At 37.7% G+C, this 18,455-nt stretch overlaps 1 protein-coding gene across 1 annotated transcript in view, besides 1 other annotated feature; it reads left to right on the forward strand.

Moving 5' to 3' along the window:
* The window catches only part of ANKIB1 (ankyrin repeat and IBR domain containing 1), a 155,410-nt gene that overhangs the window by 12,463 nt on the left and 124,492 nt on the right, over positions 1 to 18,455 (forward strand). The window lies entirely within an intron of this gene.
* Positions 1,232 to 2,431: an enhancer, noted in NCBI's record as "MED14-independent group 3 enhancer chr7:91888982-91890181 (GRCh37/hg19 assembly coordinates)". NCBI's record gives its function as "activates an origin of replication core promoter dependent on BRD2, BRD4, P300/CBP and CDK7 cofactors, and independent of MED14, by STARR-seq in HCT116 cells {active_cell/tissue: HCT116}" and the evidence as "EXISTENCE:reporter gene assay evidence [ECO:0000049][PMID:35650434]".

Raw genomic sequence — 18,455 nt, forward strand, 5'->3', positions numbered from 1 at the left:
CTAATTCAGTAAGTCTGAGTGGGATCTGAGAGTGTTCATTTCTAACAAGTTCCCAAGTGCTGCTGCTAATTGCTGTTGTCTTTTGTATGAAATTAATTTGTTTCTCTCCTGTGTCTTAGAATGGTACTGGTTATATACGATCATTGGGAGAATTTTAGAAATAGTTCCTCAAATCATTTTTCTGTGTAGTGAGAAACTCTGATGGAGAAACTTAATTTTTTTAAAAAAATTGATGAAATTAATTATAATTCCAAACTTCAGCTCATAAGAGAAGGTAAAAACAAAATTGAATAGACATAGAAAAATTAATCTGGCAGCCATTTGCAGGATGGGTTGGAATGGGAAAAGACAGAGTGTAGGTTCTCTCATCCATCTGCTATCTAGATTATGATTTAAATAAAAGAGATCATAAAAGAGATCTCTCCATTTGGAATTTTTTGCCCTTAGATGGAAGTAGCATCAACCACACATCAAAGGCCAGGTTTTTTGTTTGTTTTTTGGAGTTTTTTTTGTTTTGTTTTGTTTTGTTTTTTTTGAGACAGAGTCTCGTTTTATTACCCAGGTTGGAGTACAGTGGCGCGATCTTGGCTCACTGTAACCTCTGCTTCCCGGGCTCCATTGATCCTCCTGTCTCAGCCTCCTGAGTAGCTGGGACCACAGATGCATGCCACCACACCTGGCTAATTTTGGTGTATTTTTGGTGGAGATGAGGTTTTGCCATGTTGCCCAGGCTGGTCTCGGACTCTTGAGCTCAAGTGAGCCACCTGCCTCAGCCTTCCAAAGTGCTGGGATTACAGGCGTGAGCCACTGCACCAGGCTAAGGACCAGTTTTAAATATAGCACATGCCATAATGTCCACGTGCCAGGTCGTAACCTAAAAGTTGTGTAGTATTTGACTTTCTCCATGGTTCTTACCACCTTCCTTATCAATACTCTTTACTTCTTGTTGTAGTTTCTGTATACTTCTGTCTCCCTAATTGGATTTCTGGCTTTTTTTGTATTCAATTTGATATCTGTATATTAAATAATTTATGATTTTGAAGTCTAGATGGGATGGGCAGGATGAAAATCTCTGCATTTTAAATCTGGAAAAATAAATCTGAAAAAAGGAAATTATCAGGGGATTTATATTTTTGTAAACTTTTTATACAGCAATTTAATAGCATGTGTAAATTGTCAACTTCCAGGTTGTATCTCCAGCCCAGACCTCACATTTCAGCTTCAGAATAGTATATCCTTTTGCCTACCTAATATCTAATAAGCTTCTCAAATGTAACTTGTTCAAATATAAGCAGATTTTCCCTCACATGCCCAAACCTCACCTCCCGCAGTCTTCCTCTCTCAGTAGTGGTAACCCCTTGCTTCCAGGTGCTCATGCCAGGACCTTGGAGTCATTCTTATTTTTGTCTTCTCTCTCACTTCTGCTTCCAATCTGTCAGCAATTTTTTTGGTTCTTACCTTCAGAGTACATCAAGAATCCAACTAAGAATTCACCACCATCACTGCTACCTCCTGTCTTTAAGCTACCATCACCTTGTACTTGGATTAGTGCAGCCACTTCCTAAATGATCTGCTTCTAGCCTTTCTTCTCACCCCCATTAGTCTTCTTAACAGACAGCTAGGCTAGTCCTGTTAAATGTAAGTCTGGTCATTTCACTTCTCTGCTAAAAACCTTCCAGTGACTTCCCCTTTTACCGAGAATAAAAAGGTAGTGATTTACAGTGATCTTTAAGACCCTACCTACACAGTTGCCTGCCCCTATTCTCTTGAGTTCATATCCTACTAGTTTCTTCCTTACTCTCTATGCTACAGTAACACTGGCCTCCTTTTTGTTCCTCGAACACACAGGGTATGCTCCTATGCATGCACTGGCTATTTCCTCTATCTGGAATACTCTTTCCCCTAGATACCACATGACTCACTACATCACCTTCTTTAGCTCGTTGATGAAACGTCACTTTGGGCTTGGCCGGTGGCTCACCTGTAATCCCAACACTTTGGGAGGCTGAAGCAGGAGAATTCACTTGAGTCCAGGAATTCAAGACTAGCCTGGGCAACATGATGAGACCTCCCCTCTACAAAAGGTAAACTAAATTAGCTGGGCGTGGTGGTACATGGCGGTAGTCCCAGCTGCTCAGGAGGAGGCTAAAGTAGGAGAATCACTTGAGCCTGGGAGGCTGAGGGTGCAATGAGTCATGATTGTGCCACTTTACTCCAGCATGAGTCACAAAGCGAGACCCTGTCTCAAAAAAAAAAAAAAAGTCATTTTGGTAAGGCTTTTGCTGGCTACCCTTTTAGACATTGCAGCACCACAAAACTCTCCTTGCTGGCTTTATTTGAGAAAGAAACAAAAAGCAGTGATTTTAGTTTATTTTGTTCCTGCTGCATTCCCCTTCGCCTACAATAATGCCTAGCACATGATAGGTGGTTGATAAATAGTTGTTGCAGGAGTTTATTATTTTAGCTGTGAAGAAGAGTATTCCTTTCCTCTGAGAAGTACACTTGAAAAAATCCTGTAACTCTAGCGTAGACTACCAGTTATTGACTTCCAACATTTACTCTGCTTTCCTTTTTCTAAAATTGATAAAGTCCAAACCTCTCTTGTTTGGATTTGAAATTACTATGTTTTTTGGCCGGGCGCGGTGGCTCACGCCTGTAATCCCAGCACTTTGGGAGGCCGAGGCGGGCGGATCACGAGGTCAGGAGATCGAGACCATCCTGGCTAACACGGTGAAACCCCGTCTCTACTAAAAATACAAAAAATTAGCCAGGCGTGGTAGCGGGCGCCTGTAGTCCCAGCTACTCGGGAGGCTGAGGCAGGAGAATGGCGTGAACCCGGGAGGCGGAGCTTGCAGTGAGCCGAGATCGCGCCACTGCACTCCAGCCTGGGCGACAGAGCGAGACTCCGTCTCAAAAAAAAAAAAAAAAAAGAAAAGAAATTACTATGTTTTTTGTTTGTTTTGTTTTGTTTTGTTTTGTTTTGTTTTGTTTGGCAACATACTACACCTGGCATAAATCCTTTCATTCTCTCTAAGGTATATGAGTTATTAATTGCTATTGACTGCAATGATTCCTAACACTCGTAGTGATATTTTGGTATGCATTTTGCTTTTAGATGACTTTATGTCATGATTTATAACTTTAAAGCCATAGCTTTTTTTCATATTCTCCAAGAAATGTTAATACCTCTTTCTTCCTTTAAGCCTAGATTGAGAGTATTGTTCCTGTTTTGATTTTGAGGGTTTTGTTCATTTTAGTATTTTTGTGTAGCTAGTGCTTAATAACTGCGTGAATTGGAGGAGTTAGGTTCCACAGAAGCACCTTGCTCTCTTACTCAAACTTGAATTTTATGTGCTTGCTATGGAAGTCATATGCTTCAGATATTTCATTTCAGGTATTTTGCGCTAGTGTCAGATCATGTTTTGAATCATGTCCTAACTTTTCTATTTGAAAGAGTCATTGTAGCACTTAACGTTGATCCTGCTGCCATTTCTTCAGGATGTAGGGAAGCGCAGTGACTCTAATCTCACTTCTTCGTATCTTAAAAGAGATAGGTGTTACAGGCTGTTATACTGTGCCCTTCATTACTTCATTAAGATATACGGAAAATAAGTGAATTCGAAGACATTAAGTCAAATACATAGGATTCAGGTTCTTATTTCTGATGTTGGAGAGGTGCTAGTCTCAGACTAGATCTATGGCCTTGGCAACAGACAGTAGACATGGGAGCTCTTAACTCCCTCCTAAATGTAACTGTTATATTTTGTTGCTATGGCAATAGAATGTGCTTAATGCTAAGATTCCATATCTATAGCTGAAGATGTATGCAGTATAAATTAATTCTTTTTCTCATATCCAAGCCAGGACTTGAATGTCAACATGCATAGTAATAGGGGCTTTGCTGAGAAAACAGATACTGCTACATGACTTAAGATACCCTGTAGGAAAAAAAGCCTGGGTTCAAAGATAAACACAACTTTACCCAAAATAGTGATAAATTAGAACCAACTTAAATGTAAAGCAAAAACTGAATTATCTGTATAGCAGAATTTGATTATTATTAAAATGTGTCCAAGGGGTAGTTAATCAAATGGAGAAATGTTCATGAGAAAGTAAGTACAAAAGAAAAGATTCCAAGTATATAGCATGATCTGGTTCTGCAATTAAAAGAAGGCTATATACATACAGGAAAGAGAAGAAGAAAATATACCAGTATGTTGACACTGATTAATTCAGGATTTGGAGATTATAATGATCTTTTTATTTTCTTCTTTATACTTTTCCATATAATTCCCAGTTTAGATAACTATCTATAATTTTATTATTTTTAAAAGAAAGAAAAAAGATTTTAGAAACAGATACAGCTGTGTGATTCTAGGCAAGTTAATTAGTGATCACAGTGATGATGGCTACATTTTACTGAGTACCTACTATTTAACAAACATTGTGTGTATTTTACACATTTTGTCACCCTTACTTCATAATGGCCAAGGAAGGGAGGCCTAATTGTCTACCTTTACATATTGGAAAAAAGACTTAAAAACTTTAAGTAGCTTGTAAGCTAGTAAGTTGTAGAGCCAGGATTCAAACCAAGATTTGTGTTCATAATTTTCTCAATATACTATAAGGTCTTTCCAAAATGATTAAACTTCCAAAATCTGTGATTTCTTATTGTAAAATGTAGGCAGGATTGTATGGGAATGAAATGACAGGAGGTACATAAACCACAGGATTAGGTTTTTACACATGTATTCTTCAAGCTTTATTATTAAATATGTTCATTTAACAACATTATCTAAGATTTAATTCTGTAATATTAAACCTGTAAGTTGCATTTCTTCAAAGAAGAGCAATGTTAATCCATTGGTTAACATTTTGTCCTGTTTTTGTGTTTACACAGTACAGTTTTACAGTCAGTTTTTGAAAGGTTGGATTTCATAAAGATAAATGATACTGTGTTAAAAGAGGTAAAGCTTATATTTCCCACTTTCCTTAAAACATGTCTTAACAAACCTGATATTTTGCTGGGATTTGAAGGGACCTCTGTTCCTTACTTGAGTTCTGAACCATGTGAGTAGCCAAAACAGTAAGCATATCCAGTTTTTTCTTCCCAGATTTGGTAATATCTCTGGGGTAGCTAAGGTCAGGAATATTATTGCAAATGGAAAAGAAGTATTACTGTCAATACCTCTCTCAAGTTTCATACTTTTGTTTAGAAGTTAGTGTAAAAAAGTTGCTGAAACACCGAAGTATGATAGATTGGGTTCTGGCTGATAGTTACCATTATAGTCATCAAAATACATACATACATACATGTATAGATATAGTTTACTTACTCTTATGTTCAGTGTTACACTGTTGCTTATGGGTATAATGAGCACACTTCCCAGAATATCCAGGACAAGTATGATTTCAAGTATTACTTAATATAGTTGGTCTCTGTTAATTATGTGTCTTAATTTGGGATTTGGAAAATATGGACGGTATTATCTGTGGGAAATATAAAGAGGTATAAAACCATTGCCCACAAGTTTACAATTTGACTGGACAAATAAAATATTCCTTAAGACAGTGAACGTGTAAAATTTTTTTCATGTGTTATATCTATTGCACAGTGTTCCATTGTATGATTAACCATCACTTATTTTATCTATCCTAGTGATGAACACCTAGAGTATTCTTCATTTTTAAGAAACAAACTTCAGGATAGTGTTTTTCGTCGTCGTTTTTTTTTTTGTTTGTTTGTTGGTTTTTTTTTTTCTGGAAGCGAAAAGGAGGGAAAGGGATTGTAGCAGAGGGAAAACCTAAGTTACATGTTTAAAAAAATAAGAAATTTTACAATTATGGGGAAAGAGGCAATGGCATTGTGGACATGAAATAAATTAATGTTAACCATAGTAACAATTCAGAGAAGAAGGAGAATATTTTCAGGAATCAATCTTTCATTTGTCAATAAAAATTTTTTTTTTTTTAAATTTTGAGACAGAGTCTTGCCCTGTCACCCAGGGTGGAGTGCAGTGGCGTGTTGTCGGCTCACCACAACCTCCGCCTCCCAGCTTTAAGCAATTCTTGTGCCTCAGCCTCCTGAGTAGGTGGGACTATAGGTGCGTGCCACCACGCTTGACTAATTTTTTTTTCTTTTTTTTTGTATTTTTAGTAAAGACAGGGTTTCTCCACATTGACCAGGCTGGTCTCGAACTCCTGGCCTCAAGTGAACTGCCTACCTTGGCCTCCCAAAGTGCTGGGATTACAGGCATAAGCCACTGTGCCCAGCCTCATTTGTCAATAAATATTTATTAAGTTTTTTAATGTGCCAAAATGCTAGGTGCTATTGTTACACCTGTGAATAAAACAATTATGGTCTCTGCCCTTAGCAAACTTATAACCTAGTAGAATAGACAAACACTAAACATATAAATACATCAAATTTATAGCAAATGATTTGAAGGGATACATAGATTCAGTGATAGAGAATAATGTGATAACAGGATTAAAGACCAATATATAGGGTGTTCAAAGAAAGTATCTCTGAGAACATGATATTTTTTATTTTATTTTAGTGACAGTCTTGTTCTGCTGCCCAGGAGAGAGTTCAGTGGTGCTATCATATCTCACTATAACGTCAAAATCCTGGGCTGAATCTATCTTCCTGCCTTCCTCCTACCCAAGTAGCTAGGACTACATGTGTGTACCACTATACCTGGCTCATTTTTTTCACATTTTGTAGAGATGGAGTCTTGCTGTGTTACCCAGGCTGGTCTTGAACTCCTGGCCTCAAGCGATCTTACCATCTCCCAAAGCACTGGAATTACAGGTATAAACTGCTACCCCTAGTGAAGGACATGATATTTGAGACAAAGATGGAAGGATGAGAAGATGTTAAAGCCTAAGAATTGAGGAGGGAGTAATGATAAGAATATTTTAGGCTGAAGGTAGTGCGTATGCAGAAGCCCTAAGGGTTAAAAGAGAAAAAAAAAGAGGAAAAAAGTTGATATATTCATGGAGCAAAAAAGGGGCCAGTGTAGCTGGAGCATACTAAGCACGATGTGGGAGGAATTTGAATACTATTCTAATGCAGCTTCAAGCCATTGAATTATGCTGTAAAGCAAAACATAACTATTGTCTGGCTGCTGTGTGGAAAATAGATTGTAGTGATGAGAGGGCAAAAGTAGAAATAGACGAATGAAGCTGTTGAAGTTGTTAGGGTAAGAGGTGAAGGTGACCTGAGCTGGGATTACCCAGGAGATGGGAAGGTTTGGTCATATTCATAGTATATTTTCAGGCTAAGAAAGGACTCAAGGATGAATTTTCTGTTATTGGCCTGAGGGAGCCGGTGACAATGTCATTTATGAGATGCATAAGATTGGAGGAAGAATAGGTTGGTGGAAAGGATCAAAAGAATGGAGGTAACCAGTTATATCTCTAGTACAAGATGTCAAGTAGGCACTGTTACAGGAGTCCGGATTTCAGAACAGAGGTCAATAGTTCAGAAGTTAGGAATCATCAGTATATGTAAGTTTTTGTAGTAGTTAAACTCCTAAAACAGAATGAGATCAACCAGGGGAAAATGTAGTTGAAGAAGTAGGTGTGGGGCTTAGGAGCAAGCTCAGAGGACCTCCAACATTTAGACACCAGATAAATTCCATCAGGAATCTGAGAACCAGGTGTCCAGTGAGGTTGGAGGAAAGACAGGAGGTCCTGGTATCTTGGTAGCTGAAACAGGGAAGTATTTCAGAAAGGAGGAGGAGAGAACATTTGTTCAGAGGGCTGCTAAGAGTTCAGATAGGATGAGAGTAGGAGAAAATATACTGGATTCTGTGATATGATCAGCGTCCAGTTAAGTGACAGAAACCACAAAGTAATTGAAAAGGGAAAGTTTAATATAAAGAATTATTTACTATAACAGGAGATTACCTACTGAGGGGAAAAGGGAACTCTGAAGAATATGTATATATATGTAGCAGATATAGGGAGCAACCATTACCACTAGGCCTGAGGCAGAGCACCCAAGGAAGGAACAAATCTGAAAGAGGCCCCCCTCTACCATCCCTGGACTGAGATTCAGAGATCACTGGGATGGCAGAGAAGTTCTCTGGGGTACTGCACTTAAAGAACTCACCTGTAGAAAACCCTCCTCTGAGGGGCCAGGGAAAACAGCTCATAGGAAGTGCTCCACCAGCGGAACTCACTGGGGGCACTGTGTACTGCCTGGAAAGCTATCTTCTAGGGTGCTGGGGGAAAAAACTGTAGACCTCTCTGGGAGTCCACTCATGGGGGTGATACATGCTTAGAAGCCATCCCCCAGGATCCCAAGAGAAGTTGCCGACAGGAAGGTATGATTCACTATTAGCATCCACACATGGCAGAAGCCTACTGAGAGAAACAGAGCAAAACCAGGAAAAGAATCCTTTCTCCTGTGGTGTCCCTCCCATATCTTCTACTGACAAAGTTTAACAGCATGACAGCCAGCAAAGGAAAGTAGTTTCCAATGCCCACCTTCATTATAGCGCAGTGGGTAATGGAGGATGAATTTTGAGTTGAGAGGCAGTGAGTTGACAGTTGGCACACATGGGATATTGCTGCTGATCTTGATAAACAGTCAGGGAGTGGTGAGAATAGAAGCCAGATTGCAGTGAGTTGAAGAGCAAATGGGAAATGATGAATGGAACAGGTATGTAAACAACTCTTTCGAGAAGAAGATTTACTGTTAGGTAGAACAGAGTTAAGGTGTAGTAGCTACGTGTGGGATATTTGTGGAGTTTTTGTTTCATTTATATTTTTTAGAATGTAAGAAACTTTTTGAATATACATACATACATAAAAACTTACAAATCAAGAATACAGCTCAATAAATATTCACAAAGTGAACACAACTATGTCATTAGCATCCAGATCTAGATATAGAGAAATATAACTAGTACCCCAGAAGCCTTCCCTCATCCATCCAGTAAAAATTATGTCTCCCAAGAGTGACTATTATCATGACTTCAGCAACACAGTTTTACCATTGTGGTTCTTCATATAAGGTGAATCATGTAGTATATGCTAGTCTGTGTCTTTTCATTCATTCTACTCCTAAATGATATATATACTCCTAAAAAATCTCCATAGAGATTTTTATTTGTCTTGTATATCTTTGTTTACACTGTGATCATGAAGATGTTCCTTCATGTTTTCTTCTGAAAGCATTATTGTTTTACCTTTCACATATACATCTGCAGTTCATCGGGAATTTGACTTTGGTGTGGGGTTTTGGGTAGAGTTCAAGATTATTTTTTCCATGTGGATATGCAGTTGACCATGCATCTATTGAGAAGACCATCGTTTAAGCCAGGAGATTTTTTAATGATAGAAAATAACAGAACATGTTTGCATATTGATAGGTGATCTAGGCCCTTTATCATTCTCTAGATTCTAGGGAAATGGTGGTATAGGAATGGGTTAAGATAAATGAGATAACATAATTTTTGGAAAGGAAGGGAAGGTTTTTGAAAAGGAAGGGACCTATTGCATAAATAGAACATACGCCTTTGCTTCTAAAGATGTGTACTTTCGTTGTGATAGGTAGAAGAGAAAAACGAGTTCAAGTACAGATTGGTTTGCAAACTTAACTATGAGGAGAGGAAAACATTCTTTCTGTGTACTTTTGTTTTGTTTATGAGCTAAAGATGGGTCCTGAGAAGATACGTCAAGAAGGAAAGGGTTTCTTTGCACATGGATATTTAGTTGTTTCAGTACCATTTGTTGAAAAACCTATTCTTTCTCCATTGAGTTAACTTTGTACCTGGAGTGAAGCCAGTTCTACTAAACTATGCTTTGACTGTGGTGAAAGGGGATTTCTCCAGAAAAATTGGATTGTTCTTAATAGAGAAGTGATGGAACCGCTGTCAGGTAAATAAAATTGGAATATAATGGAAGAAAGCATTTCTAGCCCCTTGATCTTTAAAGGCATATGATTGTATTTTTTGCAAAATCAGTGAATTAAAAACTGAAGCGATCATGTTATAAAAGGCATTATCTTCTTTTAGAATTTGTCTTTACTCCTTTTGGTGGAGGAGAGGACAGGCCCTCCACTCTGTCGCCCAGGCTGGAGTGCAGTGGCGCAATCTTGGCTCACTGCAACCTCTGCCTTCTGGGTTCAAGCAATCCTCCCACCTCAGGCTCCCGTAGCTGGGATTAGAGGCATGCACCAGCACACCTGGCTAATTTTTGTATTTTTAGTAGAGACCAGCTTTCACCATGTTGCCCAGGCTTGTCTCTAACTCCTGGACCCAAACGATCCTCCTACCTGGACCTCTCCAAGTGCTGGGATTACAGCTGTGAGCCACTACACTTGGCCTGTCTTAATTGGTGTCCTTTGACTTAATATTAACACTACCACAATGGACTAGGTATTTCCTTTCGGCTTGCATCTCATCTAGCTGTACCTTACGTTAAATTTTTGCTTAGTAAGTTTAAGGGATCTAAGGGAGAAATACCCTTCATTTTTAGAACAGCTTGTGGTAGAATGTTTGGGGAAAGCATTACTCTAAAGTATAAATTATTCATCATGAGAAGATACTTTTGCAAATGTGGCAGTAGGCCACAGTGTTTTCCAGACTCTTCTTAATGTTTGACTTTAAACAGGAAGAACATTAGAAATTATATCTTTCATTTTATAATACAATTGAAAGTATTATGCAATACCTATAGCATAGGTTCACTTTCTCCTGAAATCTCTTTTGTAATAGCATGTCTCACCCTGTTTCTTAGATTGAATCAGTGGGATAGCATTGAGGGACAGGAAAATAGTAAAATATTCCCTGATTCTAAACCAGTTTTCTTAGGTGAGGGCTATAGTTGTTCAGCAGTATAAGAGTTTGGCTATTATCAGGTAAGCCTACGATTCAGAAATAATCTTTCACTTAAATTAGAAAAAACAAGTAGAACCCAATAGAAAAATAAATGTCTTTGTATTATGTTGTGATTTGTTCTTTCAAGAGAAGGGAAGTAGACCCACTAGGAAAGTGTCTTTGTGTTACCTTGCGCTTTCATTCACATACTGATTACTCAGTAACAGCATCTGAATTTGTGAAGAATATTTAAGTATGTGATTTTTTAAGAAAGCTCTGTAAGGAAAACGTTTTTCCTGTTAACAAACATTTTATAGGGACCTGTTGCCCTGTTATAGACTAGAATTATTCTGACTTTATTCTATGTAAGCCTATGGTAACTTGATTCATTGATACCTTCCAAGGGGTTAGCAGGCATCACCTAAAATATATTGGCTACCTTGGTGTTGTATCTTCTTTCTTCCCTATAACTGAAAGTGTTCAACTATCTCTTCTATAACTATCCGTAATACAGTTTCTGGTCTTTTTTTTTTTAAAAAAAATTATACTTTAAGTTCTAGGGTACATGTGTACAGCGTGCAGGTTTGATACATAGGTATACATGTGCCATGTTGGCTTGCTGCACCCATCAATTCATCATTTACGTTAGGTATTTCTCCTAATGCTATCCCTCGCCAATCCCCCACCCCCCACCGACCCCCTGACAGGCCCCAGTGTGTGAGTTCCCCGCCCTGTGTCCAAGTGATCTCATTGTTCAATTCCCACCTATGAGTGAGAACAGTTTCTGGTCTTTTAAAAAAAATTTTTTTTGGAGATAGGGTCTCACTGTTGTCACCCAAGCTGGAGTGCAGTGGTGTCATCACAGCTTACTACAGCCTCGACTTCCTGGGCTTAAATGATCCTCCCACCACAGCCACCCGAGTAGCTGGGACTGTAGGCGCATGCCACCATGCCTGGCTAAATTTTTAATTTTTTGTAGAGACAGGATCTTGCTATGCTGCCTAGGCTGGTCTCTAACTCCTGGGCTCAAGCAATCCTCCTGCCTCAGCCTCCCAAAGTGCTGGGATTATAAGCATGAGCCACTACACCTGGCCTCCAGTCATTTTGAAGTACTCTTAACTGAATAATGAGCCAAAAAGACACTTGAGGAACTTCTGTACCATGACATAGAGAAGCTGAAACAAATAAGTTGGGGTAGGGGAGACTTGGATGATTTTCAGTAATTCAGGTAGTAGAAGAAAACTTTTATTTTTTAAATTCTCATACAGTAAAATGGACATATTTGGATATACAGTTCTATGAATTTTAACACATGTATAGATTAGGATAACCACCATCATAATCAGGATTCAGACAGTTCTGTCACCCCAAGAAAACTCCCTTGTCCTGTCCCTGTATAGTCGTACCCTCTGCCACTCGCTAGCCTTTAGCAACCACTGGTCTGTCTTCCATCGCTATAGTTTTTTTTTTTTTTTTTTTTTTTTGAGAATGTCATATCAATAGAATCATATAGTATATAGCCCTTTGAGACTTGGTTTCTTGCATTCAGCATGATACCTTTGAGATTCATCTAGGTTGTAGCATTTTCCTTGTTGGATGTGTGATTTGCAAATATTTTCTCCCAGTCTGTAGTTTTTCTTTTCATTCTGTTAATGACAGTCTCTTTTGCAGAGCACAGGTTTTTAATTTTGATAAAGTCCAATTTATCAATTTTTTTCTTTTATAGATAATGCTTTTGTTGTTATGTTAAAAATTCTCCCTAATCCCAGGTCATGAAAATTTTCTCCTGTGTTTTTTCTTCTAAAAGTTTTATAGTTTTAAGTCTTGCTTTTCAATCTATGATCCATTTTTAGTTAATTTTTGTATAAGTTGTCCTTGTATCTTAGGTGACGGCACTTTTTTTTTCCCCATGTGGATGTCTAGTAGTTCCAACAGCATTTGTTGAAAAAACTACCCTTTCTCCATTGAGTTGCTTTTGCTCCATTGTCAAAAATGAATTAACCATATTTGTATACACCTGTTTCTGAATTCTTTTCTGTTGTATGAATCTGTGTCTGTCCCTCTGCCAATAGGACCCTGTCTTAATTCTTGTGGTTTAGAGTAAGACTTAAGATCAATTAGTGTGTTTCCTTGAACCTTATTCTTCTTTTTAAAAATTTTTTAGTTATTCTAGTTCCTTTGCCTTTCCATACAAATTTTGGAATCAGCTGTATCTATAAAAATTCTTGCCAGGAGTTTGATTGTAATTGCATCAAGTCTGTAGATCAGTTTGGGGAGAATTGACACCTCTAACTATGTTGAGCCGGAAAACTTTTTTAAAAGAATATTTAATGCCTTTGTATAGATGAGACGCTAAGTCCAAGCTGCAAATATAGGATATTATAGGAAAAGGAGCAACAAGATGACAAGAAAGAGCTATAGAAATTAAAATATGATAGCAGGAATCTAGATTGAGTAGAATATTCGGAAGATAAAGTTAGGGAGATTTCCCTTAAAATAGAACAAAATATAAAGAGATTAAAGATGAGACAAAGATTGGAAAGTTAAAGGATCTAGCTAGGAGGTCCATTATCCAAATATTGGAGTTCCAAAAAAGTAGAGCAGGGAAATGAAATGGACAGGCAGGAATGATCAAAGAATTTATCCTAGAACTGAATGAAGGAGCTGGATTTCCATATTAGAAAAGTGAATTTTAAAAAGAACCACATGATTTCATGGAGATAGAAAATGGAATGGTAGTTACTAGGGGAAGGGGAAATGAAGAGCTAGTGCTTAATGGGTATGGACTTTGAGTTTTAGAAAATGAAAAAATTTTGGACTTGAGTGGTGGTGATGGTTGCACAACAATGTGCATATACTTAATGCCACTGAATTGTATGCTTAAAAATGATTAAAATGGTAAATTTTGTGTTATGTATATTTTACCTCAATTAAAAAAACAGAACCGCACCAAGGCATATCAGTGAAATTTTATAGCTATGGAGATCCATGGGAAGATAAAGAGAAGATCCGAAAATTCCACAGAGAGCAAAACTAGTGACATTTAAATGTATTGGGAATTAAGACACCTAGCAGTAATATTGTAAGCTAGATGATGATAAGATAATTACTTCAAAATTGTCAGCAACCTTGTCGAAGGAGAGAGTAGAAGAAAAGGACAAAAAAATTACCTTTAATTGTTTTCTTTCTCAGTAGGCTACTAGAGGATGTGCTCTAGCAAAATGAGGGCATAGTTCAAGAGGTAGGAAGATTTAGCCTAAGACTGTACAGCAGAACCAGATCCAGAATGAAAAGCCCTAGGATGACAGTTGTACAGCAGGCCCATAGAGTATCTGGCCCAGATTGGTGTAGGAGGGGATCTCGGAGTAGGGAGTGCAATAGGAGTTATGATAGATTATTTTGCATATGGAGAATAATGTGGATATATAATGATGAATCTGATGGAACATTTTGGAAAAAATAAGAATATGGTCGTGTGTCACTTAAAATGGGGATACATTTTGAGAAATACATCATTAGATGATTTTGTCATGTGAACATCATAGAGTATACTTATACCAACCTAGATGGTATAGCCTGCTATACACCCAGGTTATATGTAAAAGCCTATTGCTCCTAGGCTATAAACCTGTACAGCATGTTACTGTACTGAATGCTGTAGGCAGTTGTATTGTAACCAAATGGTAAGTATTTGTATATTGAAACATATCAAAACATAGAAAAATTATAGTGAAAATACAGCATCATTGGATATATATAGTACTCTATATAAGTACAGTATTTGCCACATAACATTTTGGTCAACAATGGACTGCATATATTATGGTGGCCCCCGTAAGTGCAAAAAAGATAACAGTTATCAATTCCAGGAAAGTCAAGAAAGACAATTTATGTATTAGTTAGAATGCCTTCAAATTCAAGAAATAGAAAACTTATTTGAGCATGAACAATGATAAATTTATTTTGTCACACAAAATGGCATAAACAATTAGAATGATTTATCATCTTATTCAGCTGAACTCAGATAGGATGGATCAAGGACTGGTTAATTCAGTGATTCAATGACATCATAAAGAATTAGGATTCTTTGCATATTCTTGTCTTCCACTTTCAGCTTTGTCCTTTCTGTCTCTAGACAACATCCATAAACAGAAGAAATGATTTATTACTATGAGTTTCATTTTATGATCCAGAAACCTCTCCTAGATCACCCAGTAGAGTTTCTCTGTGCCTCACGACCAAGATTGCATTGCCTGAATAGTGAGAATCATTGTTACAGAAATAACTACTAGAATCATTGATGAAGATGAAGTAAATGTAGGGAAAACAGGTGGAAGATTATAGAAGGGAAAACAGATGGAAGATGGGTTATTATAGTCTGCCAGGCAGGAGAGTATGGCAGGCCAGAACTAATACAAAGGGAGTGGAGGTTTGTAGCACTTGGAAAATGACTGCATTAAAGATTCACTACTTAACATTGGTTAATGTTTCAGACAGCTATTTTTTTTCTTTTTTTTTTTTTGAGACAGGGAATCACTCTGTCACCAAGGCTGGAGTGCAGTGACATGATCAAAACTTACTGCAGCCTTGACCTCCTGGGCTCAAGGGATCCTCCCACCTCAGCCTCCTGAGTAGCAGGTACTGCAAGTATGTGCCACCATGGCTGGCTAGTTTTTTTATTTTTTGTAGAGATGAAGTCCCACTATGTTGTCCGGGCTGGTCTTGAACCCTTGGGCTCAAGCAGTCCTCCCACCTCCGGCCTCCCAAAAGTGTTGGGATTACAGGTGTGAACCACTACCTGTGGCCTCAGACAGCTTTTTAATAGTTAAGCTTTTCTGTTTCCAGTCAAGAATTTATTTTATCTCCCTCCCCTGAACTACTGATATTATTATTTATTCCTAAAATTCAAGTACCTACAAACAATTTTTAAAGTTTGTATTGATAATATGCAAAACACTACTGGGCACTGCAGATTTGAAAAAACAAAAACAAGAGTATAGATGTAGTCCCTAACTTTAAGGAACCTAAGCTCACCTTAGAGCAGTAAGAAATTTACACAAAATATCAGTAATAAAAGGTAGTTTATGCTTAGGTCAAAATTAGTTTGTAGTAAAGAACCTAAAATTGTAAATTCCACTGTAATAAGGTATATGAGTGTGCCTTTAAAAAAATTTTACAGTGACTACTATATTGAAGGGTTTTAAGTAAGGAAATTGCATTTTAGATGCATAAGGATGTTTGCCATGTACATTTATCATACATACTTTTGTAAATCTAGTAATTTTCTTTGTGGTCATTTAAAAAAAAAAAGCAATGTTTCAGAACAGGAGCACTAGCTCAGCTGCATTAGCTGGGAGAGAGAATCTGGTCATTCTTAACTCCTTATAAGATTTTTTGGCCAAGTGTGGTGGCACATGCCTGTAATCCCAGCACTTTGGGAGGCCAAGGCGGGAAGATCACTTGACACCAAGAGTTTGAGACCAGCTTGGGCAACATGCCCAGCCTGCAAAACCCTGTCACTAAAAAAAAAATTTTTTTTAATTATCTACATGGGAGGCTGAAGCAGGAGGATAGCCCGAGCCCAGGAGGTGAAGACTGCAGTGAGCTGTGATAGCACCACTGCACTCCAGCCTGCGCAACAGAATGAGACCCTGTCTCAAAAAAAATATTTTTCAGTCTCTGCAGTTTTTAGCCACATCCCATGCCTCAAAGCTACCTATACCTCCAATTTCTGAGACTTTTTGGTGTTCTTTAACAAAAAGTAGGCTGCTTTTTTTTCTTTCTTGGTTGTAGAATTAGGTTTGACCTTTGCTTACTCAATTTAGCTTTGCTAAACTAGTTGCCTGTTGTGTATTTGTTTTCCAGTTTTCAAAATTCCAGCTTTTTTGAAATTTTTCATCAGCTCTTGTTTCCTCTCATTCTTTTTGACCTTGTAGATTTATCCTTTTTTCTTAATTTATTCTCACTTAATGGGATTTCAGGAGCATATTGACTAAGTTTTCATTTTTACATGTATACTGGGGAGTATGACATAGACATCTCTGTACTTAGATATTACTGATGTAAGTCTACTTTGAATCAAATGAACAGATGTTTAAAAAGTATTGTTCCCAATTGTTTTAATGATTTCTTCCTGTGAGTTGGGGTGGTGCTGCCCATCACCAACTCAGGACGGTATTTGAAAATACCTGGAAAAATTGTAACAATGTCTGGAAAACACTGCAGATATTTAATTGGCAGAGGTCAGGGATGATTAACATTGCGAAATGTGAGGGACGGTCCTACACAGTGAAAAATTAATTCAATCCCAAATGGCAAGAAGAAGACAGGAGGTGTATTAACCTGGAAAAACTGTGCCAGAAGGACAGGGACATAGAACTGGGGGTGATGCACCATTCTGGAATTGGGATTAAGTAGAAGTGCACAAACTAAATGGCGAGACCTCCCCCAGCTTCTTTCCTCCACTTAGCCTAAAGGAATAGACCTAAAGATTTTGACAGTTGGGGTACATAATGAAACCACCAACTCACTTTCATTGTACAGTAGCCCTTGCTGGTTGCCTAACCCCTGCTATTATAAATAATGCCAAAATAAGCATCACTGTACATGTCTCTTTGTGTACCTGTTATAGGAGTTATCCTAGGATAATATCTATTAATTTTTCAAAATTATAACCCACAATAAGTAATTTTATATCATAACCTTATATACACATACACATGCCATATGTCTTTGTGTGTGGTATATCTACATCTATATATAATAAAAAAGTTTTGCAAAACTACACTTAGTATATAGATGCACACTGATCTTTTTAGCTTGTTAAAAGTTGGTCTCATTACGTCTCATTTAGATACAGAAAATACATATATTAGGTAATACATAGAGGTGAATATATGTAAAATCAGGATTCTAGGCCCAAGGCATATTTATTTTCAACATGAACAAATACTGTAAAATTATTCTACAGAACAATTGTTCCAAGTTGTACCTCCACCAGCAATGAGTAATGACTTCAATTTGTGTTTCCAAACTCATTTACCAATTTAATAGGTAGAAGTGGCATCTGTGACAGACACAGACACTGTATATATACTGACCCCATCTTTATTTCTAAAACTTTAAAAATTCCTGTCTCCACTATGGAAACCTTAAAAGGTCGAAAGTTTATTCCCTAGGAGAGGAATCCAAGTTTCCAGATACCAATCATGGGCCAGTCTTGCAAGGAGGCCTTTGTAAGGATAGCCATCTCAAGCCTGATATGTTAACTCTTTTCTGCATGGTCCACTCCCTTGGCATTTAGCCAAGGTACCTTGACAGCTAAGCCCTTTAGAGGTCCAGAATGTGGCCAGTTAAAACAAATTTCATTGATTATAAAGGTCTATCATAGAAAGCCAGGTGGCTTCCGCCTTCAGTTTCTGCATTTTAGTTTCGTTTTTATCTGGCCTGAAGATAAATTTGGACAGCACATATCTGGTTAAGTTGAATCATCTAGTTCTTCAGGCTTTTCAGAAGTGTCCTGATAATCAGGGTACACATGAAAGGAGTGCATTTCCAGAGGACACTCATAGTACCTGATATGGTTTGGATCTGTGTCTCTACCAAATCTCTTGTTGAATTGTA

The sequence above is a fragment of the Homo sapiens genome, chromosome 7 (genome assembly GCF_000001405.40).
Source record: "Homo sapiens chromosome 7, GRCh38.p14 Primary Assembly".
Taxonomy (NCBI): domain Eukaryota; kingdom Metazoa; phylum Chordata; class Mammalia; order Primates; family Hominidae; genus Homo; species Homo sapiens.